Raw genomic sequence first — 23,433 nt, 5'->3', positions numbered from 1 at the left:
TAACCTTAATACCGCCTGCAGTCTTAATTTATTTTTGCCATGCAAGGTAACATATTTACGGGTTCCGGGGATTAGGACATGGACTTTTTTAAGGGCCATTATTCTGCCAACCATACCCCCCCACTTTTCTTCCTTTTACGTCTACTCTGTGGTAGATCATTTTCAGCAAGATCAGAAAATATATGATATTCATACATATACCAATGGCAAACATTACTAAGAAATCAAGTCTCGCTTTTTTTACTAATCTTAGATTAGAGCTCAACATCCTCACACAGATGCTACTAATCAATTGTGATTGGCTTACAAGATGAAATCAATTTGCTTTTCTAGATGTAGATGTACAATTTACAATATATGATTTGTGTTAGGGAATATTATAATAAGGGCAAATTCCTGTATTGCCTTTTAAAAGTACATATTTCTTATTTGTATACTTATTTTAAAAATAAAATTAATGTGTTCACTAAGTAAGATTTGGAAAGTACTTGTTGATTCCTTTCCATATGGAATTTTTTTGATATTATTTAGACATGGTTGAGGTCATATTATAAATGCAGATTTTTTTTTCTTTTTGATGGAAATCGGTGCCTAGGTTTACCACTGATAAAGCTCTATTGGAGAATGTGGCTTAGATGACTGGCCTGATGGTTTGCTGCTAGGGTACTTTACCAGTGAAAGGCAGGGCCGGAGAGCTTATATGCAATTTTTAATATTGCCTTTTAAATCAGCATTTTGTAGGTGTTTTCCATTTTATGAAAATGTATTTATAAACTAGTTTTAATGGCTGCTTAAGGATGATTATCATAGTGTAACCATTCCTTTCACAATTGGATAGTTTGGTCATTCCCAGTTTCTGTTGTTATAAGTAACCCTGCAGTGGATATCTTTATGCCAAAAGCATTTCCATGTCATCCTGAAATCTAAATAGCTATAAAACGTTGGGTGAAGCCCATCAAACATCTGAGAATTCACAAATAGTAAAGATGTTATTTTCTCTTCTTGCAGATGCAATTAAAATGCATTCCCTAGGATGGAACTGATATTTTCAACCTTAAAAGAGGTGCCAGAGAAGATACTTAGACAAGATGAATGTTGCTGAACTAGGATTCTCTAAACAAAAATAGGCTTATTCCTTCCATCTAGCTATTCGACTCTTTGCTTTCTTCCAAATCCTTCCATCTAGCTATTCAACTCTTTGCTTTCTTCCAAACCCTTCCATCTAGCTATTCAACTCTTTGCTTTCTTCCAAATCCTTCCATCTAGCTATTCAACTCTTTGCTTTCTTCCAAATCCTTCCATCTAGCTATTCAACTCTTTGCTTTCTTCCAAATCCTTCCATCTAGCTATTCAACTCTTTGCTTTCTTCCAAATAGATAAGTCCACGTATCATTATGTAAGGCAGTGTAGTTAGGCAGGAATCACCTTGTGGAGTTCTTTCTCATTTGGCTCCTTTGGACCCCTAACTCTGTTGATAGAAATGTTCTCAATGACAGAGCCGATTCAGTGGCATTCTCCTTGCACATGAATCAAAAGTGAGTTTATTTTAAAATAAAATTTTATCTTTTCATTTAAAAGGGACACTCATTTTCATCTAAAGAGGATACCTCTTTGTGCTAACCTTATATATATATCATTCTATACTAAGTTTGAAAGTTGTTATATGTTGAGTTCATGGGATTCATACAACCTGTGAAAATGCTGTCGTGAGAGACATTGAGTTTGGGATGGGTGGTGTCAGTGATAGAGAGGGAGGGAAAGAGAGAGAGAGTGAGAGGAGAAAAACAGATGAACATGAGAGGAAAGTCTTGCTAGGGCTTACATCACAACCCCATACCAAAATGGTTTGTGAGATCTGCCATTTTAGCTGATCTTGAATCTCTCTGCCTCCCTCCCCAGATAGTTTGGTAGATTGATTGAATGGCCCATTCATTCTAGGAAACTATGCTAGATTTCTCTCAGCATATTTGTTAGATGTCAAAGCCTGAGAATGGATTTTAAGATAATACTTTCAAAATCCAAGAAAAAAATATTGACTGGACAGCTGGAATTATTTTTATTTTCATATGATATTAGCTCTTTAATATTTGTCTTATTTTTATGAATATCTCATATTAAAAATAAACTGCTACCAGTAACCCAGTTGAAAAATAGGCAAAGGATATATAAAAAGAACAGATCACAGAGAAGGGAATAACTTTGAGTGTATGATAAGTTGTCCAACCTCACTGATAATTAAAAAAAAATAGTAAAACTACATTAAGATACCATTTTTCACTTATCAGATTGGTAAACATTCAGAAGTTTGCAAGCATGCTCCATTGATGAGGCCATGAGGAACAGCCATTCTCACACATTGCTGGTGGGAGTGTTAGTGCCTTTGACCCTGTGGAGGTCAGTTTGGCAGAATCTGTCAAAATTGCAAATGCATGTGTTCTTCGACTCACCACTTGTAAGATTTTATCCTACAGATATACTTGCAGATGCATGAAATGCTTACTGTGCAGGGTTATCCATTAGCAACAACTGAAATGTCTGTGAATTAGGGTAAGGGTTAAATAGGCAATGGGGCACACAAACAACAGAATGATGCTTTGTGGCTACAGGAAAGAATATGGGATCTCTCTACTTCTATAGAAAGATATTTAAGATATATGAGGAAGGGCAAAAAGTAAGATTAAAAAAGGGCAAAACCATATTTGTATTTACTTATGTTTGCTTTCAAGCCTCTGCAAGAATACATGCAAAATAAACAAAGAAACATAACCTGTTGCAGGTGGGTGAGGGTTGGAACTGGGTAGACTGAGGGACAGGGCTGAGAGTGAGACTTTTCCCTATATATATATTTTAACCATGTCAATTAATTGCTTTACCTATTCAATAATTTAAGTAAAAAACAGCAACGTAGTAAATAAGAATATTATCCTAGAAACTATCTAAAGTCAAAGCAGAATGTAAACATGTTTCTTATCCATGATACCATCCTATGAAGATAGTGCAAATTGCCTTTGGAATTTCATTGAGATTCTGTTTGGCATTTGAAAATCTCTGAGAGTGATGAGGTCTCATAGCAAAGCACAGGATTTAGAACCAGGCAGATGAAGTTTCAATTTCTGGCTGCACCACTTATAGGCTGTGTTATTTAACAAATTTTATGATCTGTAAAATGCTGATAGTGATGTTTGTCTTCTGGTGTTGGAGATATTAAAAGCAATACCATTTTTTATGAGTAGTAAGTATGGTACATGGTACCAGGCAGGTGATCAAAAATTGTTGGCTCTTGTTTCCTCCCCTATCTCTTGAAAATGACTCTAGTTCTCGAAAGAACTACAGCAAGGAATATAACCCAGCCTGATCGTGGTTTATATACTTTTCGATGAGATTACATTATGTTTAAAAATAGCTCACTCTAAATATTTTTCTAGGTGTTATATTGTATTTTTTATAAATTTTTAGATATTGATGTTGTTTTACTTTTTTCTTGTTGTTCGGAATTGTTGGGTTAGGCAGATTGGGGCCAAAATGTTGATGCTGCTGCTTACTAATTAGTTAACCTTTGGGAATTCCTTTACCTTTTTGAGCCTCTGTCTTCTTATTTGAAAAATATGAACACTGATATAATTATTTCAGAGGCTTTGAAAGAGGAGTTGCTTTGAGGGAACAGACCAGAAGGAATGTCTCCACACAGCTTTGGGAAGGCTTGGCCCATCAGCCCTGCCAAGCCATTCCTGGGGAGGAAGTGCTGGGGTGCTGGGGAGGACCTCAGGTTTGCTCTTTCATGAAGAGAGTTAGGGGGCTTTCTTCTTACAAGGAGAAACTCTGGCCTCTTGCCACCCTTCCTGCAAGATTGACTTTTCTGTAACTTTAGTCAACATCAGAATTACCTTGGGATCTTGATAAATGTTCACATAATGCATTTCTAAACCCAGAAGATGCTTTCAGTAAGCCTAGAGCCCAACCGAGGATCCTTGACTTGAACACTTCCCTGTGAGGTTCTGATGCAGGGGCCCCACAGCCCATAATCTGCTAGACAGTGTACTGGGTTTTGAATTCTGCAAAGAAAGGCCCTATTCAAATATTTTTACTTAAAATGTTCTCCTGTAAACAGCACACAGCTAGTTCTTTTTTGTGTCTGTGTGTGTGCCTACATGTGTGTATGTGAATTATGTACCTGTGTGTAACAGGGTGACAATCACTGCCCTTTAATTGGAGTGCATAGTCCATTTACATATAGTGTAATTATCAACATCTTTTAACTTAAGAGTATGATCTTGGTGTCTGTTTTCTATGTGTTGTATAAGTTATTTGCTTCTCTTTCCTTCTTTTCTGTCTTCTTTTGAGTGAATCAAGTATTTTTTAGTATTCCATTTTATCTCTTGTATTGACTTTTTATTTTAGAACAGTTGTAGATTTATAGAAAAAAATGTGACTATAGTACAGAGAGTTTCTATATACCCCACACCCAGTTTCCCCTGTTGTTACCATCTAATATCAATACGGAACATTTGTTACAACTAGTGAATCAATATTAATACATTATCATTAGCTAAAGTCCATATTTTATTCAGATTTTCTTAGTTTGTACCTAATGGCATTTGCCTATTTCAGGATCCCATTAGGATACCACAGTACCTTAGTCCTCATGTCCTTTTTAGGATCTGTTTGGATTTAACAGCTTCTCAGACTTTCCCTGTTTTTGATGACCTTGGAAGTTTTGAGGGATACTGGTCAGTCATTTTATAGAATATCCCTCAGTTTGGATTTGCTGACCTTTTAACCATACTTTTTTGTGTTCGTCTTGTTTTAGTGGTTGCTGTAGACCTTAACTTATCTTTGTTACAACATATTCTAGTTTCAAATATTATATTATTTTATGAACAATGTAAGAAGCATAAAACACTGTAATTCATTTACTCTCCTCCTACACTTTGTGCTTTTGTTGTCACACATGTTCATGTTATGAACTCCTCAATATAGTGTTGTTATTTTTTGCTGTAATCAGTAAATATTTATAAAATATTTTAAAAATACATAATGAAACTAAAATTTTAAAAATATTTAAAATTAAAAAAGCATTTAATTAAAATATTAAAATATTTTTAAAAGGGTAAATATACATTTACCTGCATAATTCACCTTTCTGGTATTCTTCATTTTCTCCCCGCAGATCTGGGCTTCTATTTGATACATTTGTCTTTAGCTTGGAGAACTTCTTTTAGCATTTCTTGTGTGCTGGTATGCTAGAATTAAATTCTCTCGATTTTTGTCTGTTTGAGAATGTCTGTATGTGGTCTTCATTTCTGAAAAATATTTTGATAGCCATAGACTTCTAGGGGGACATCACTCTAAAAATGTTCCATCCCTTTTCATCCTTTCTTGTTTCTAACCCTTATCATTGTTTCTCTATGTGTAATGAGTCTTTTTCTTCTAGCCGGCTTTAAGATTTTCCTCTTTTTTTTTGGTTTTCATCATATTAACATCAGCAAGTCTAGGTGTGGTTTCCTTTATATTTACCTTACTTGGGGTTTGTTGAGCTTCTGTGGGTTGATATCCTTCATCAGTTTTGGACTGTTCTCAACCATTATCTCTTTCTTCCTTCTGCTTCATTTGTTCTCTCCTTTCCTTCTAGGACTACAATACCACATATATTAACACATATGTATTAATACATATATGTGAGGCACTAATAGCACCTCACATTCTGGTGATCTCTCTCTCTCTCCCTTTAATTCTTCTTTTTATGTTTCAGTTTGTATAGTTTGTATGATTTCTATTTGCCTTTCTTCAAGTGCACTTATCCTTTCTTAGGATATATTAAATCTGCTATTAAGACCACCAAATGTGATGTTTTAATAAAACTTCTAGGATCTTCATTTGGTTCTTTTCTTTTTCTTTTTCTTTTCCTTTTCTTTTTCCCTCCCTTCCTTCCCTTCCTTCCTTCCTTCCTTCCTTCCTTCCTTCCTTCCTTCCTTCTCTCCCTCCCTCCTTCCCTCCCACCTTCCCTCCCTCCCGCCTTCCCTCCTTCCCTCCCTCCCTCCTTCCCTCCTTCCTTCTTTTTGTATCTTGCTTGAGCTCCTGGGCTCAAATGATCCTCCTGCCTCAGCCTCCCATGTAGCACTTTCTTTTTGTAGTTTTTGTTTCTCTATTACATTTTATCATCTGTTCACACATGTTTTTTATTTTTTTTTTCCTAGAGCTTTTAACGTATTTGTTCTAGTTACTTCAGTGTTTTTGTTTAATAATTTTAACATCTGGGGCACCTGCACATCAGTTTCTATTGACTTTTTTTCTTTTCTTTTTTCTTTTTCTTTTTTTCCCTGCAGGGCTGCAGAGATGTTTTTCTTCTTGGTTTGAGGTCATCTTTTCTTGCTTCTTTGCATGCCTCATAATGTTTTAATTGAATGCCAGACATTATATGTGAAAAAACAGTAGACTGAGGTAAACAATAGTTGGCCTTGGGAAAGTATATGTTATTAGTGTGGTGGATTGTGTAGAAAAGAGTTAATATAGCAGGCTTGGCTGCTCTCCTTTGAAAGACCTGCTTACAAGCTTGGGCTGGCATCTGAGAACATGGACTTCCAAGACAGTTCATAGCACCTCACTGTTAAGAGGAGCTTACACTTTCTAAAGCATTTATACAAACAATGCGATTTATGCTGAATACCTGCCTTTATTTCTGGGAGTATGGAATTTTGGTACATGCTAGGCAGAGGGTACTTACATGATCAGCCATCACTAAAGTTTCTAGTCACTAAGTCTCTAACGAGCATCTCTGGTTGACAGCAGCATTTCATAAGTATTGTCACAGTTCCTTGCTGGGGAGATAAGCATGTGCTGTGTGGCTCCACTTGGAGAAGACCCTTGGCAGCTCGCACCTGGTTTCCCCTAGCCTTCACCCCGTGTGCCTCTTCCCTTTGCTGATTTTGCTTTGTATTCTTTTACTATAATAAATTGTAGCCATGAGTATGACTATATACTGAGTCTTGCAAGTCTTCTCAGTGAGTCATTGAACCTGAGGGTGGTCTTGGTAACCCCCAACTCAAGAATGAATAAATCTCATTTGTAGTTGAGCTGGGTCTGGGTCTGGGCTCTGAACAACTCTAGGGTTGGTTTTCACTATCTTCAAATATTCTGAGAAGAGGATCAAGGACTTTGCTTTCAGCAAGGTTGAGCATCTGAGCACCAGTGAGATTCCAGAAATCATGTTGTGTTTTACAGCCCAGCACTGGCCTTCTCAATCATACAGGCGCTCTACCAGCTTTGCAGGTCAGCTGCCAGCGTTTCAGGATGCTGCAGAGTTTCTGTCTCTCTCCAGCTCCACCCCGGGCTTTCTGTTTATTAGGCATCTCTCTCCTGCCTTGCTCTGCCTGGGGAACTCTTTGGAGAGTTGGCAGTGCACTTGGTGAAGGCCTTGTGTACTTTGTAAGGAGTGGCTTTCCTCTCCTCTTTCATCTCTGGCGCCAGCTTCAGCCCCCAACCCTCTTGCCCTTGGTGAAGTTCTCCATTTCACAGGGAAGAGGTTGATGGGTCACTATGCTGGAGATAAAAGTAGGACAAAAGGAACTGGTGGATACCTTGGTCTCTAGCATAGCGACCTATCCACCTCTTGTCTTTTTCTAGAATTAGTTCACTTAGGTTTCTTTGTATCCTTGGCAATCTGATAGATCCGTCAAGTTGTTAGTGTGAGATCAGTGGTCTCTTGTGGTTTTCTGCATCCTAGCTGGGAGCAGGAATACTCCACCCCTGTGATTCTGACAGTGCCTGTCAGTGTCTGCACAATGTGGGTGCCTGTCAGATGTACCTATTGCCCCTGCTCCAACATACACAGAACTTGAAGCTGGGAGTCAGGAGCAAGGAGGGTGACTGAGACAGCAGACTGTGGCTTATGTGAGTAATCTGGGTGGGTGCAGAGTCACGAGGAGAGAGTCCTCTGCCAGCTGTCATGCAAGGGTATTATCAATGCAGCATTCCCCGTGGGTAGTTCAGGAAAGACTTGGAGATTCATGGACCCTTGGGACTGTCCCCATGAGAGAAACAACAGTGTGCAGGTTTGATGGAAGGCCTGTATCCTACAGCACAAGACCTTCCTTTTTTGACATTAGAGATTGTGGCTCTACAGTCAGACTATCATAGAATCCTGGCTTCCCACTTACTGCCTGGGTGGCCTTGGGCAAGCACTCTCCCCTCTGCAGCTTACCTGTAGCACAGAGATAAAAGAAGTACCTCTTCTTGCCACTATACACATTGTGATTAGTCAGGAAGTAAATAAAGAGGGCTTGTCACGTTGTTCTCAAATGTTAGTTCTGTAGAGACTCCATCCTGGTTTCTTCCTTTTTTCATCACAGGACTGTCCTGACTCTACAATCTTCCTTTCTTTCATGACTTTGTTTAAGATTCTTGGTGCCTGTGGCATGTTCTGTTTGTTCACACAGTCATATTCACTTAATTCCACTAATGTGGCACATTCTTTCATGATGTACCTGACCACATAAATATGTCACTGAGACAGAGTCTCACTCTGTTGCCCAGGCTGTAGTGCAGTGGCGCGATCTCGGCTCGCTGAAACTTCTGCCACCCATGTTCAAGCGATTCTTCTGCCTCAGCCTCCTGAGTAGCTGGGATTACAGGTGCCTGCCACCGCGCCCGGCTAATTTTTGTGTTTTTAGTAGAGATGGGGTTTCACCATCTTGGCCAGGCTGGTCGTGAACTCCTAACTCTTGATCCACCTGCCTCGGCCTCCCAAAGTGTTGGGATTACAGGCATGAGTCACTGCACCGGCTGAGAAGCTTTTACCAGGTATGTCTCCCACCCAGAGTTCTTAATAAACAGCCTCCTTCTAACAGTGAATGTCTCTCTCCTCAGTGGCCCTGCCCTTCACTGCTGGACCTGCTGCGTATGCTTTCAAAAAGTGTGATTCTCCTGCAGAAGGGCCTTGCCCTGCCCTTGCCCCACCATTCTTTCCTCATCACTACCTCTCACCCATTTTTTGCATCGCACAGGACATGCCACAAGGCCCCAGCACTGGAGGAAGTTTGCCCTTTGGCTCATTCCTCTGTGAAGCTCCAAGTGCACCAAGAGCTTTTCCTGGTTTATGGAAAGCATGTCAAAATTTGGTGTGTGAATGTGCAAGTCCACAAAAAGGGAATTCAGGTCTGAAATCCACAGTTTTTGAAATCTGTGCATTTTGGAGATTCTTCAGTGTGACTTCATGCTGACCCTTCCTTCTTACTTTAGACGCTTTTGCTTCTGAAACAGAATAACCCTCTCTGCTGTTTGACAAATAGCTCAGATCACTCCTCTGTCCCTGACCTCCAGAAGGTGAGACTGGCCTTCTCTTCTGTAGCCATCAGCCTTTTGGTATAGATGAGTATGCTCTTTCACAAGGGAAACCATCCACGCCATCATCTTGAAAAGACACTATTTAAAGTTTATGTTTGATGTATCTCTAAATGCAATTGAATCTTCAAAAATGTGCACCATGAAGCTGGAGAAATCTATTGCCTGTTGTCAGCCTAAAATTTGCATAACTAAAAGTATTTTCATAAAACTAGTGAGAGGCAAGGGAGATCTCAATCACCGATTTCATTATCATTGAGAAACTTTTCCTGAGAATGCCATATAGAATACATGATACCACAATTTGACATTCAGAATTTTAAGAAAAAACATAAGTACAAATAAAGTGCTAACTATTCATTTGGTTTTTTGATGCAAAGCATATGAAATGTTTACTTATTTTTCAACACATTTTTTTTTTCTGAATACCAGGCACTTCTGTGTCAGGCACCATGACAGGGGCAGAGGATTTCAGGATGAAGGCAGGCCTCTGGTCTGCCAGGGTTACAAGTCTGGGGAGAACCAAATAGACATCAAAAGTAACAGCAAATATGTTAAGTGCTACAAAAAGTTATGTACAAGGTGCTGTGGGAACCCAGAAAACCAGCAAACTAATTATTCCAACTTTATCAGTTTTTAAAAATTATGTTTTAATTGGATTAATATATTATCCTGTTGTGTAAAACCTGTAACTTAAAAAACCCGTTGCAACCAGAAAGCTCTCTGATTGACTGATACCCACAAGTCAAAGGGAATTAGTGTAACCTCTTTTTGCATTCCTGATGATGAAATAAGTCCTGAAGGCCTTTATAATGTGTCGGTGTGAAAGGGAAATGGTTGTATGTACAAAATACACGAGGCATCTGAGCACCTAGAATGTATAAGGGGCTTGGGTACTCAGTTGAACAAAGGTGATGTTTGGATGAGGTCAGCCGAGGATGTGGCTGTGTAATTTGCTCCTAGTTTCCAATCTAAACTTTGTCAGCAAGGAAGTGAAAGCAATAAAATGATCTCAAATAAGCAGATTGTTTGGAAGCCACACATTTATAAATAGTTCAAAGTAATCGTCTCAGAGTCTCAGCACCCCCTCAGAATGCTGAGTCATCTGGCATTGCTTATGGCATTGCAGTTTTATTTATACTACAACTCCTCCTGTTACCTAGAAGACGTTTTCATCTTTCCACAAGAAAGTTCCACCACAAGGTTGAATGTTTAAATATCTAGCATTAGAATGAATAAGACGGGTGGACTGGTTTCTTTGTAATAGCCATGTGCTTGGCATTACGCAGGTGTTTTCTGTGTATTACCTTATTTTGCCCTGAAAAACTCTACCAGGTAGGTAATTAACATCCCCGTTTTACGGATTAGGACACTGAGGCCCACAGTCTATTTTAGTAATGTGCTCAGGAGTAACACAATTTCTATGAGCTAGAGTTGGGATTTTGATCCATGTCTCTGTAGTGAAAACTACTCTCTGCGCGTTAGTCCACGCTTTCTCATTTTCAAGTGAAGCAGAGGAACTTATTTACCCCTTTGTCCTTTTTCCCCTCACTGCTATGCCTATTTAAGCCTGCAGCTGTATGTTTAGCTATCAAGACTCGAGCAAAATCTTCAATCAAAATGCTGATGGAGTGTAAAGTTAGCAGCCAGAACATTTTCCAGGTTCAGTGGAAACTACTGAACCAAGGGGCAGAGGGAAAGAAGTAAAGCATAGAGTTTCTGTTGGTGGTGTTTGTCTTGCTTTTCAGTTCCAAATTTGCAAGAAAATGAGGAATCTGAGATTACACATGGTTTTCTTGTTAATTTTGAACGTGGCGGGTGGGGTTGGGAGCGGGATGCATGGCAGGGCCATGTGGTGGTGGTAACAGGGGCCATTTGTTAAATTGGTTTGAAATGCAAAGTCTCTGCTAAAAACCTCTTAGTGCCATCTTCAGCTTCATTCTATTTTAGATGTTTAAAGCACCTCTGGAAAAAAAAGGAAATTGGATTGTTTTATGTTAAATTAAAATCCTGTCTAAGAGTGTGCAATATATTCTCTGGAAATACTGCATTTTTGACACAAGCGATAACAAATCAATAATCAGAGAACGCTAAAGAGTCTTCTAAGCTTGCACAAAAGGCAATTAGTGTGGATTGATTTACTGTTATTTATTGTGATGAGATAATTGCCTCAACACAAGCCATTTTTGAACTTGTGGTATGCCACGGTTTTAAAACATTTATTCTCTTAAATTGTTTAATTTGTCTCTGGCCTTATTTTAAAACCAAGATAGGTTTGTGCTTCGTAAATGATATGAAGGCCTGGCATTTTCTCTCTGGATCTTTACCCTGTGCTGTTTTTTTTTTTTTTTTTTTTTTCCGTTGTGACCAACCCTGGATGGAATGTAAGTCCCAGCTTCATGTTCTCAGGTTTATAAATCCTGAAGCGATAAAGCAAAAAATATATTAAAAGATTTTTATCTCCCAGCATGGGTGGTGCCCGGTGGACTCGGCCTTGAGCCTCTCCACTTTCAGGAAGACTTGGATTATAGACCAGAGTGTGACCTACCAAATCTGCCTGAATTATACTTGGCCACTGGGAAAAGGAGAAGGGAATGATGTTCTCATTCACCTGATATCCCGTAAACATCAACATTACTTTGAAATCTTTAGTACAAACTTCTTTACATGCTAACACGAGCCCATGAAAATCTGCTTCCCCCTCACTCCCTGAGGTCCTTGAAGAGGTCCGAGGGCCTCTTCCTTTCGGGCGTTTGTCTCTTGATATCTCTTGGCTTCTGCCTCTGTGTTTCTTTCCCCTTGTTTGTCTCCTGTGACTGTCAGTGGGTCACGGGGGTCTGGTGTGTTTGTTTGGGTCAGGTGGAGTGCACCAGTTTCCCACATTGTCCTGTGTACATGTGGTTCACAATCCCACTGAGCTCAGGCTGGAGAAGAAGGTGAGCATTCTAGGTGCAAATGTTCTTTAGGAATTTTCCTTACGAGAACCACCATGTATCTTGTAATTTACAGTCTTGGTCCTTTGTTATGAATATGCATTTTTTTTTGAGTTGCCCACTGCCCAGTATAGGGGTGCAGATCTTTGGCCATGGGCCTAGTGATCAGTATTCTTCTTGCTGCGGGGTGGGGAGCATTCATGCAGCTCTGCTGCAGTGACTCTCAGGCACTGAGCAGCCTCTGGGGATGAACTCGTATTTCTTCTTCTTCTTCTTTTTTTTTTTTTTTTTTTCTGAGACGGAGTCTCGCTCTGTCGCCCAGGCTGGAATACAGTGGCGTGATCTCGGCTCACTGCAAGCTCCGCCTCCTAGGTTCACGCCATTCTCCTGCCTCAGCCTCCTGAATAGCTGGGAGTACAGGTGCCTGCCCCCACGCCTGGCTAATTTTTTGTATTTTTAGTAGAAACGGGGTTTCACCATGTTAGCCAGGATGGTCTCGATCTCTTGACCTCGTGATCCGCCTGCCTCGGCCTCCCAAAGTGCTGGGATTACAGATATGAGCCACTGCACCCGGTCTGAACTCGTATTTCTATGAAACATTTCCGTCTGTCAGCCTGTGTCATCATCCAGAACATTCTGGAAGAGTCACAAGCTTTACTGGGTGACCCTGGGTAGATAATGGGCCTTGGAGTTCAGAGATTCAATGTGATGGAATTCTTCCGAGTGGAAAAGAAGTTTCTCGTGGGCACAGTTAACGTGGAGTAGTGACGTGAGTCGGGCAGTCAGCCAATCAGGCTTTTGTTTTCGCGTGTTCCGTTCTGAGTCTCTAGTGCCCAGTGCTCCACTGGCTGTGGTGCAACCCAGCAGTAGCAGAAGACATGGCTTCTGTCCTCAGGAAGCTCAGCTTACCTAGGAGACAAGATAGACCCTCCCTGGAAGAGGCCATAAGTCAATGTTTTCCATGGTGTGCCCTCTAGAACATTAGTTCCCTGGGATGTCAGTAGGTGTTAGGTGGTAGGGACACAGTATGCAGTGATTTTCAATCTCATTTGGCTGGAGAAGTCCCTCTCCTCCTATTTTTCCCAAAGTGCCTGCCAGCACTTACATTTTGTGAAACAGACTTTGGGAAACACTGGTTATCAGAGAACCCAGAAGTAGAGAAAATAGTATAATGAACCCCATGTATATTTGTCACTTCAGTGGCTTCTGGTCACACTCAGAGTTAAAGCTGAAATCCTACAGGTGGCCACAAGCACCTGCTCTGCCTGGCCTCTGGTTCCCGTGCCGCCTCACCCTCCACCCTCCATTGCAGACGTGGCGTGTCCCACTCCATCTCCGTGCTTGGTTGCACCTGCTCTTCCCACTTCTCACTCTGCTTTTCTCCCAGGTAGCCACACGGGGCTTCTCTCACCTCCTTCAGGTCTTGGCTCAAATGCCTTATTTTTATGTGTTTAACAGCATCAATGGGTTATATATTTACTTGTTCATAATGCTAGAATGTAAATTCTTGAGGCTCTTTGTTTAGTTTTTGTCTTACTCCCAGCACCTATGCAGTGCTTAATAAATATTTGCTGAATGAACAAATGAGTAAATGAATAGGTTCTGTAGAAATTTACTGTGATAGATTTATCATGGCCAACTTCCAGGTGGAAGTAGGACTCTGAGCTCCTTCAAGGGCTTGGAGCCACAAGGGAACAGCGTTCAACAGATCCTCTGTTTCTGGGCCATGCCTGGTCCTTCACTCCATTCTGTGGCTTTGAGCTCTCAGTTCTTCCCTCCTCTCACAGTTGCCAGAGGCCTCTTTAGGTTAATACAAGATAAAACATGTGTAAGTGCTTTAGAAAGGAGGTGCTCAGCCCAGGATAACCAAGCATGGTCCCAAGGCTCATGGGATTCTTCACACTCACCAGATGCAGTGAGCCAGGCCCTGGAGGATGCTGAAGGATCACAGCAGAGGTTCACTGCAGCCCACCAGGAGCCCTCCTCTTAGCAAAGAGCAGGTTTACTATCTGTAAGTGTATTGTTTTCTTATGTTGAGCACAGCAAACCTAACTTCATTATTGTTATGTTCAAGAAGCCTCAGTGGAGATTCCTGTAAGAGGGAGTTCATGTAATCTGTTTCTGGTGTGTTCTTTGGAAATCTATGCAAATGCAGTTATAATAAATCTTCACTACTGCAGTGGTGTTAACTCTGACCTGCAGTGTTTGGTAGTTCTGTGGACAGTTCTGTGGGCAGTTCTGTACAGAGCCAGGTCCTGAGGAGGGAATAGAGAGGGAAGGGGAATAAATGGTGAGAAGGTTATGCTACTAGAACTTTGGGAGCTGGAATTGCTGCTGTGAAAACAGCACCATCTTGTTGATGCTGTGATTTGAAATGCAAAGTCATCTGCAAAACTGAAAATACAGTATAAAAGCAAAAGTTGCAGAAATCATCCATCTGATCCGTTAGCAGGAGAGATTATTGCTGAAGTGAAGCTTGTTTGTGGTGAGCTTTGGTGATCAGTGCTCCAGCGGCCAAGGAGACCGGGCCGTGAACATTAGGATCCAACAGACCTTAGCTAGAACACTAGTTTGGCTGGTGACTAACTGCATGAACTTCAGCAAGCCGCTTAACTTCGCAGGGCCTTGTCTGCAAGATGAGAATGTTAATATCTCCATCTTTACCCTGGGTGACTGAGGCATGTAGTAGAAACTCAGTGACAGCTCTCATTATCTGTTGTGAATTTGGGGTCCCCTCCTTGAGCTCATCTTCCTCTATTGCTGCAAATTTAAACAGGAAGTGCTCAAACTCCAAATGCACGTTAAAAGAAATACCGTTGGTTCTGTTCCTTTAACTGAGGCGTTTCCACTGTTCTTTGTGTAAACTGTCAATGATAATAATTTGATGAACATCTCCATGCAGACTGCTCTGTTTACATTAGCTCCAGTCCTTGCAATAAAAGGAGCAAACATTCTCAAAGTTGCAAAGCTGTTAGACAGTAGAGCTAGATTGAGGTCTGACTCCAGAAACCCCTGCCAATTAGGGGTTGTGAGAAGTGTCACAGGCCACAGACCTCTCCACTGTACATGGTGGGAAATATTTCTCAGAAGCATCTGTTCTGGTTGTCTTTTTCCCCCAGAAATAAAAGAGAGGTAAGACTGAAGAAGCTATCACTTCATCCTTTACGGGCTCTGATTAGATGAAATTGCTTTCTAAGTCTCAGAAGTAACTGAATTAAGTCTGAATTCAAAGTTCTCAAGAACTTGGGATCCCGCCCTCCCCCAGCCCAGCTACACACTTCTCAGGGTGACTTGGTGCTAGCTTGCATTTTAGGGGATTGATGGCCACTCCAGACATTAATGAAAAAAACTTCATCTTCCTGTCGCATTTCCTCAGCTGCAGAAGTGCTGTTGTAAATCTTATAGGTGTCCTACCACCAAAACCCCTCGGGAAGCACTTGCATGATCAAGACCATCTCTCCACCTGGGTAACTTGATTTAAGCTTGGCAATGCCAGATTTATAGTTAATATTTCCTCTAGGCCTGTCACTGGGTCTTTAGAGAGAAATTCCTACTATAGCCTCATTTTTGGAATATGTTATAGTATCAATGCAGTTTTTATCACACAGATGAAAGAAAATAAACCTAAAAATTACTTTGCATGTGCTGCAATAAGTGTTGTCGTCGTCAGTGTTATTAATGTTAGTAATAACTACCAGTTGCATGCTATGTATCATTCTAGGCATTTAATGTAAGTTCTCTATAGTCGTCATAAAAACCTTGTGAAGGGGGCCTCTGTTGCCTATTTACCCATTTGGTCATACATTTCTTTTTACTGTCTTTCTTTCTTTACTTTTCTTATTGTGAAATAGAATGTATGTCCAGAATAGTACATATGACATGAAGATGTGGTGTGATGAATAATTATGAAGTGAACACTTGCATAGCTGCTGCCCAGAAATAGACCATTGCCAGACACTGTCCTGTGGGGTCTTCCTGAGCCCACCCTTTCTCTGTCCCAAAAGTCACCACTGTCCCGACTTCAATGACAATTATTAGGTTGGTGCAAAAGTAATTGTGGTTTTTGCCAGTAAAACACACGCTAAAGCACCTTGTTTAGAGATGCATACATGGGTGGCCTTACTTTTAATGGCAAAAACTGTAATTACTTTTGATCAGCCTAATACTTTTTTATTTCATTATAGTTTTGCCAACCACGTATGCATCTCTAAACCATGTCTCATTTTTTTAATTTATTACTTTTTGTAGAGACAGAGTCGTGCTATGTTGCCCAGGCTGTTCTTGAACTCCTGGGCTCCAGGGATCCTCTCACCTTGGCTCCTGGACTAGCTGGGACTACCAGGAGGACGTGTGCCATCACATCTAGCTAATTAAAAAAAATTTTTTGGTAGAGACAGAGTCTCAGTATGTTGCCCAGGCTGGTCTCGGACTCCTGGGCTTAACCATTTCTCCACCTCAGCCTCCCAAAGTGCTGGGATTACAGGTGTGAGCCACTGCACCTGGCCTTGTGTATTTGTTTTGAAGTTTACTTCTTTACTCAGAGTTATATTGGTCAGACTGACCAGTTCTCACATGTAGCCCTAGTTCACCCGTTTCTTTGCAGTACATATACCATTGTGTGAAACATGAGTCCACCATGTGAACCTAGCATGATGTAATTATTCATTCAATTGCAGTGGATAATTGGGTTCCTTCTGTTTTGTTGCTTTTATGAGCTCAGTTGCTGTGGACTCATGACGTGTGTGTCCCCTGGTATGCTTGTGCACCAGTTTCTCCAAGATACATACACCCACAGAGGACTTGCAGGCTATGGGATGCACAGCTTCAGCTTTGCTAGGTGATGCTCAGCTGTTTTCCAAAGTGGTTGCACCAGTTTGCAGCCGCATGCATTAGCCTCTCTTGGTCCATATCTTGGTGTGAACATTCCGTGTTGCCAGTCTGGTGGCTGTGCAGTGACCTTCTATGTGGTTTTACTTTTATCTTCATGATTGTTAATGAGGTTGAGCCCCTTTTCATATGTTTTTTAGCTGTTTGGATTTCTTTACTTTCTTTTACTATCCTTCCCTCCCTCCTCCACCTTTTCTTCTAGTAAAGTATCTGTTCAACTATTTTTTCATTTTTCTGTTGGGTGATTTTGTTGTTATCTTGTCTTCAGGAATTCTTTATCTCTTTTAAGTGTGGGTCATTTTTGGTTATATGTTAGGAATACAGTTTCTCCTTATTTGGCTTTTCTTCACTTTCTTTATGATGTCTCTTAAAGTTCTTAAATTTAATTTTTTTAAAAAAAAATTTCAACCAGATTTTTAGTTTTTTTCTTTTGTTGTTGTTGTTAGGAGGGTTTGCTGGACTAACTACACGTGAATCATTAACAGAAAGAGGCAAGCAATCTTCCCTTTTTCTTTAAGCCACATAACTATATTTGAGCATCTGCCTGTGCTGGGCACTGCACTGGCTGCTGGGGGAGCATAGGTGAGCGGGTTCTGATGTGGACTCTACTCTCAAAGGATTTGCAGCCTGTGGAGGGCGGACCTGGAGAGGCAGGTGGCAGTTACACCATAGCGGGGTTAATGCTTTACCAGGTGTTGGGGGACAGATGAGAAGAAGAACTTACAACTTCCTGGGAGAGTTAGGGAAAATTTCAGGGTGAAGGTAGGGGGAGTAAAGAGCAAGATGAGGCTCGTGAAGAATGGATGGGAGCCTAGCTCATCAACATTCCCACTCTTAGTACCACAAGTCAATGGGTAGACATTTTTAATAACTTGAGGTTAAAGAAAACGTTGAACTCATCAAGTTTGGCTCAAATCTGTGAAGCATAATAATATTGTCTTCTTTCAAAGCATAAGAGGGGGCATTGTTTTAAGTGGGGAGGGTGGGTATTTATACAGTGTCATCCCACGATTTATGCTTTGGGGATCTAAGGCTTGATGCATTGCTTGGAATGAATGGGTCAGCATTGAATCCAACGTGATCAACTTGTTCCTTCAGACAAGTTTTGCTGACTTTCACAGTCAGTGGCATGTTTCACTAGATGACCATAGCCCCTTCTCACTTTGGTGTCATCTAGTATTAGAATCAATAGATTCTTTCTCAAGGATATTGAGGGGAAGATACACAGAGCCTGACCCAAGGAACTCAGTAGAATAGAGCAATATCAGAAGGACAGAAGTGGATGCCTGCATACAACAGTTGCAAGATCCGCTAAGGGGCAGGAACAGCCTCCTGTGTGCTGAAGTTGTCCTGAAAGTTAGTGAAGTAGAGAGAGCAGGTGGGGAGTGTTCTCAGTCAAAAAGGAATGGCTTGAAAACATGAGTGGCAGCTGCGGGAGTGAGATGGTTTGGAGCAAGCTCCTGCACATCTCCTGCATGTGCCTGGCTGACTATCACAGAGAGGTGTGGGCAGGTCATCTGGGTATTTGTACATGACCCCATCTCTTCTTCTGTGCAGTAACTGCATGTGCCCGGCTGACTATCACAGAGAGGTGTGGGCAGGTCATCTGGGGATTTGTACATGACCCCATGTCTTCTGTGCAGAAATTGCATGTGCCTGGCTGACTGTCACAGAGAGGTGTGGGCAGGTCATCTGGGGATTTGTATGTTACCCTATCTCTTCTGTGCAGTAACTGCATGTGTCTGGCTGACTATCACAGAGAGGTGTGGGCAGGTCATCTGGGGATTTGTACATGATCCCATCTCTTCTTCTGTGCAGTAACTGCATGTGCCTGACTCACTGTCACGAGAGGTGTGGGCAGGTCATCTGGGGATTTGTACATTACACCATCTCTTCTTCTGTGCAGTAACTGCATGTGCCTGGCTGACTATCACAGAGAGGTGTGAGCAGGTCATCTGGGGATTTGCACATTACCCCATCTCTTCTTCTGTGCAGTAACTGCATGTATCTGGCTGAGTGTCACAGAGAGGTGTGAGGAGGTTATTTGGGGCTTGGTACATGCTCTCCTTCCCCTGCCCCCCTGCCCTCACTTCTGTACAATACCTGCATGTACCTTGCTCACTATTACAAAGAGGTGTGGACAGGTCATCTGGGGCTCTCCACAGGCTCTGGCAGACTTTGAAGGCTCTGAGCAGGGGGCTGATAAAGACACTTGTGTGAGATCATATCCTATGCAGCAACATGGATCAAGCTGGAGGCCATTATCCTAAGTGAATTAGTGCAATAACACAAAACTGTGATACCACATATTGTCACTTATAAGTGGGTACTTACTGACTACACATGGACACAAAGAAGGGAACAGTACACACTGGGGCCTGCTTGAGGGTGGTGGGAGGAGGATGAGGATTGAAAAACTACCTGTTTGGTATTATGCTAATTACCCGGTAACAAAATTATCTGTACACCAAACCTCTGTGACATGCAATTTACCCATGTAACAAATCTGCACACATACCCTTTGAGCCTAAAATAAAAGTTGGAAAGAAAAGAAAGACACTTGTTGTAGAGAGAATGGCAGGATCAAGACTAGGGTAAGAAGGGCAGTTTGGAGACTTGACTTTGGTCCAGGACACAGCTGCCTGAGGGAAATCTGCTGATGGGGTGATGGGGTGTTCCGGATAGAGGGAGAGTTAGAATGCAAATGAGAAAGGAGCCAGTATGGTTCGAGTCCAGTGAACGAGGGTGACCATGGAGAGGAATGTGGTCAGAGAAGTGGGCAAGTCTGGATCAGGCAGGCCTTGTAGGGAAGAAAGTTACCAGCTGGCCTGGCCTTCAAGGTCCTGGCATCTGGGAGGGAGGAGGTAAGATGTAAACACTCAGGACCTCCAGTAGAAGGTGGTGAATGAGGTAAAAGGATTTAGTGGAATGCCTGTGAATGTGGCGCCAGCCACCTCCAGTTCCTGACATATTGCTTGGCATGTAGTAGATACTCAGCCGATACTTTATTTATGAGTAAAGATAAGAGATCTTTTTGGAAAGAAATGGCAGCATGATTTGGCATTTAATTTTTATGTGAGTTGATGACATATTTTGCCTATTTTTCTTATCTTTCAGTGGATCATGGTTGATTGATCCTGCGATTGTCATTCCTCAAACTCAGACACTGGTATTCTCCATTCTCTTCCCTTCCCCCTCTCTCCCTTTTCTTTCCTTTTTTCTTTCTTCCTTTCCTCCTTTCCTCGTCTCTTTACTTGTGGTAAATGACGATTAACTGATGATTGGCTTGTATTAGTCCATTTTCTGTTGCTTATAACGTAATACTTGAAACTGGGTAATTTATAAAGAAAAGGAACTTATTTCTCACAGTTCTGGAGGCTGTGAAGTTCAGGGTGAAGGGGCTGCATCTGTTTGAGAGCCTTCTTGCTGGTGGGGACTCTGCAGAGTCCCAAGGCAGTGCAGGATATCTCATGGTGAGGGGGCTGAGCGTGTTCGTGTACTAGTGCATGTCCCCTTCCTCGTCTTAATAAAGCTACCAATTCCTCTCCCATGACAACCCATTAATCCTTCAATCCTTGAATATGTAAATCCATTCATGAGGGCAGAGACCTCATAATTCAGTCACGTCTTAAATGCCCAAACTCTCAATACCCCTCAATACTCAGTAATACTACATTTCAGTATGAGTTCTGGAGGGAAAAATATTCAAACTATATGCATGGCTATCTCCAAATCTGAAGTCCAAGATTTCCCTTAAGGTCAAGTGAGGAAGCGCTGACAGAGCCTGCTGTCCTGGCCAGCACGTGGAACCCAGGGCCCGGAGTCCTGCTGGGCCTACGAGAACTGGCCCCTCTCCCCTCTGGTGCCAGTGGGCAGGGCCACTTGATCCACGGAACCCTGAGCACATTTTCATGAGCCTAAAAAATGACCCCAAACTACAGGAAAACTACAAAATCAAGATGAACAAATACCTACAGGCCAAAGTTTAACTAAATTGATGGTTAGATATAGTTCATAAAAATTTCATGACACTTGAAATCTATTTTTTAGGTTAGAGTTTTTTCACTTTTTCAGAATTTCCCAGTCCGCTAGATGGCGATTGAGGAATAAAGGCATATGAGAGTGATGGTTAGTGTTTCTAAGTGGCTTAACATGCAACATTTTAAAAGTCTTTTTACTTACATTTAGAGGAGTGAGTCCGGGGCAGTTGATGTATAAGTAGGTACAGTTTAATAGGGTCATGGTGGTGTAGGTGGGACTTTTCGTAGCCTTTGAAGGTGATGGAGGGACTCTGTGCCTGCATGCTGCAGGCAGGCAGCCTCCTACACAAGGTCCCGGGCTACATGAAGAGAAGAGCTTCTCTAGAAGGGAAGAGAATGTTCTTGTCATGGGAGAAATTGGGAGGACACCCACCAGGAGGTTTCTTGGAGCCTCAGATGACCACATTAGACAGGGGAATAAAAATATGTGAACATGTTAAAAGAGAACATTTAAGAGAGATAGAGAGGGTAAAACCAGCCAGTCCTGAGGGCTGAGATGATGTGTGAGAGGAAGGAGATCGAGTTCCAGACTCCACACTCCCCTGATCCTCCCACCTACTGTCTGTCCTCTCTTGTCCTTCTTCCGAGCCCATCTCCTTTTGGCTGCCTGCCCCTGCATTCCAGTGTGCTGTTCCAATCCTGCTTCTCTTTTCACTTTATACACTCTCTTTCTATGGCTGTGTTCAGTCTTAGGGCATCTACTAGTTGCCTGTGCTAATATGCTAATGAACTGATTAAAGACCACAGTAGTGAGACCTATGGGGTTTTATGATTCTCAAAGCACAGTCATACTCTTGTGTTTTTGGTGCCCCATCTAATCTCCGTCAGGTAGGCAGGGAAGGTTTGCTCTCCCATTTCACAGATATGGATTCAAAAGCAGTGGAGTTGTAATGACTTGGCCAGGGTAACTCCACTGTTAGTGGTGGGCCTAACACCTGACCCTCTTCTCCTGCGCCTGGTTCATTCATGCTCCCACACTCCGCTCTTCTACCCTTGCTTGACATAGAATGCAATCATGTCCTTGAGAAGGTCCTTCTGTGTTGTAAAGTTGTCCGCATTCTAAAAACACCACTTCTATCAGCAGTGTATAACTGGTCTTGTACCAACTAGTCCACTTCATGTAGGTCATAACCATTACATGGCCTTTTTCTGCATTTGAATCCAAATTTTCTGATACCAGACGGGTGGTTAGTCTCCTTCTGTATGTCTATCTCTGTCTGTATCTCTATTACTACATCAGCCAGGTTGTTAAACTGAGGTTGAAATAGTGATGTATGACCCCAGATTTCACACACTAGTGTCATCTGGCACTTTCTGTTTTGCCTTTATTCTTCTTCACCCTCTCCAAGGTAGGCTTATCAACAAAGGGGTGGATTCACATCTGATCTTTGAGCCTTTTGATGTATGTGCCACCTTAATACCATACTTGGTTGCACAAATTAGACTGCAAAAACATTACCTGATGACAGCCTTCTTGCTTGCTGCGAATAGGAGCCAACAGAGCAACTCCTCTTTTTGCCAAAAAGCCATCCTGTACATTGCAGTCAGTTGCCAATGTCATGACCTTGAACATTACCTCATCACCAGCTTCCCATCTGCTTTCAAACATTCCTCTAGGTCCCTTCCTTGGTGCTGATGGGAAATGTGATCACTTTAATGTAGTTAGAGGTTTTTAGATGTCTTCTAATCAGGTTTTTCGGAACCCAGTTTCACGGGTGAGATATATTCCCTGTCCTCTTCTACTCTCTTTCTTTCTGTTTAAAGAACCAAAACAGCAAAGTCTCAAACTATGAAAATGTGTATTTTACCTGCTTTTTATTTTTAAGAGACAGGGTCTCACTCTGTCACCCATACTCATACTATGGTGGTGACAACTTAACTGCTTTCTTGACATAAAAATAAGGACTTAAAGAATTTCAGCCTTAACACATTCAATCTCATTTTCTCTCAACTCAATTTGTAAATCTTCAATGTACGTCTTTTTAATCTTTATCTTTTTTTTTTTTTTTTTTGTGACAGGGTCTCACTTTGTCACCCAGGCTGGAATGCAGTGGCGCAATCTTGGCTCACTGTGACCTCTGTCTCCCAGGTTCAAGCAATTCTCGTGCCTCAACCCCACAAGTAGCTGGGACTACAGGCATGTACCACCATGCCCGGCTAATTTTTGTATTTTTAGTAGAGAAGGGGTTTCGCCATGTTACCCAGGCTGGTCTCGAACTCCTGACCTAAGTGATCTG

The 23,433-nt window shown here is 41.7% G+C and overlaps 1 protein-coding gene across 13 annotated transcripts in view, besides 2 other annotated features; it reads left to right on the top strand.

Annotated features, from left to right (window-relative positions):
- The window catches only part of ZFAT (zinc finger and AT-hook domain containing), a 354,552-nt gene that overhangs the window by 270,335 nt on the left and 60,784 nt on the right, over positions 1–23,433 (top strand). The window lies entirely within an intron of this gene.
- Positions 7,952–8,071: an enhancer, noted in NCBI's record as "active region_28009". NCBI's record gives its function as "activates an Ori minimal core promoter by ATAC-STARR-seq in GM12878 lymphoblastoid cells {active_cell/tissue: GM12878}" and the evidence as "EXISTENCE:reporter gene assay evidence [ECO:0000049][PMID:35858748]".
- Positions 14,781–14,870: an enhancer, noted in NCBI's record as "active region_28008". NCBI's record gives its function as "activates an Ori minimal core promoter by ATAC-STARR-seq in GM12878 lymphoblastoid cells {active_cell/tissue: GM12878}" and the evidence as "EXISTENCE:reporter gene assay evidence [ECO:0000049][PMID:35858748]".

This window comes from Homo sapiens, chromosome 8 (genome assembly GCF_000001405.40).
Source record: "Homo sapiens chromosome 8, GRCh38.p14 Primary Assembly".
Taxonomy (NCBI): domain Eukaryota; kingdom Metazoa; phylum Chordata; class Mammalia; order Primates; family Hominidae; genus Homo; species Homo sapiens.
This window is presented reverse-complemented; position numbering and strand designations above follow the sequence as displayed.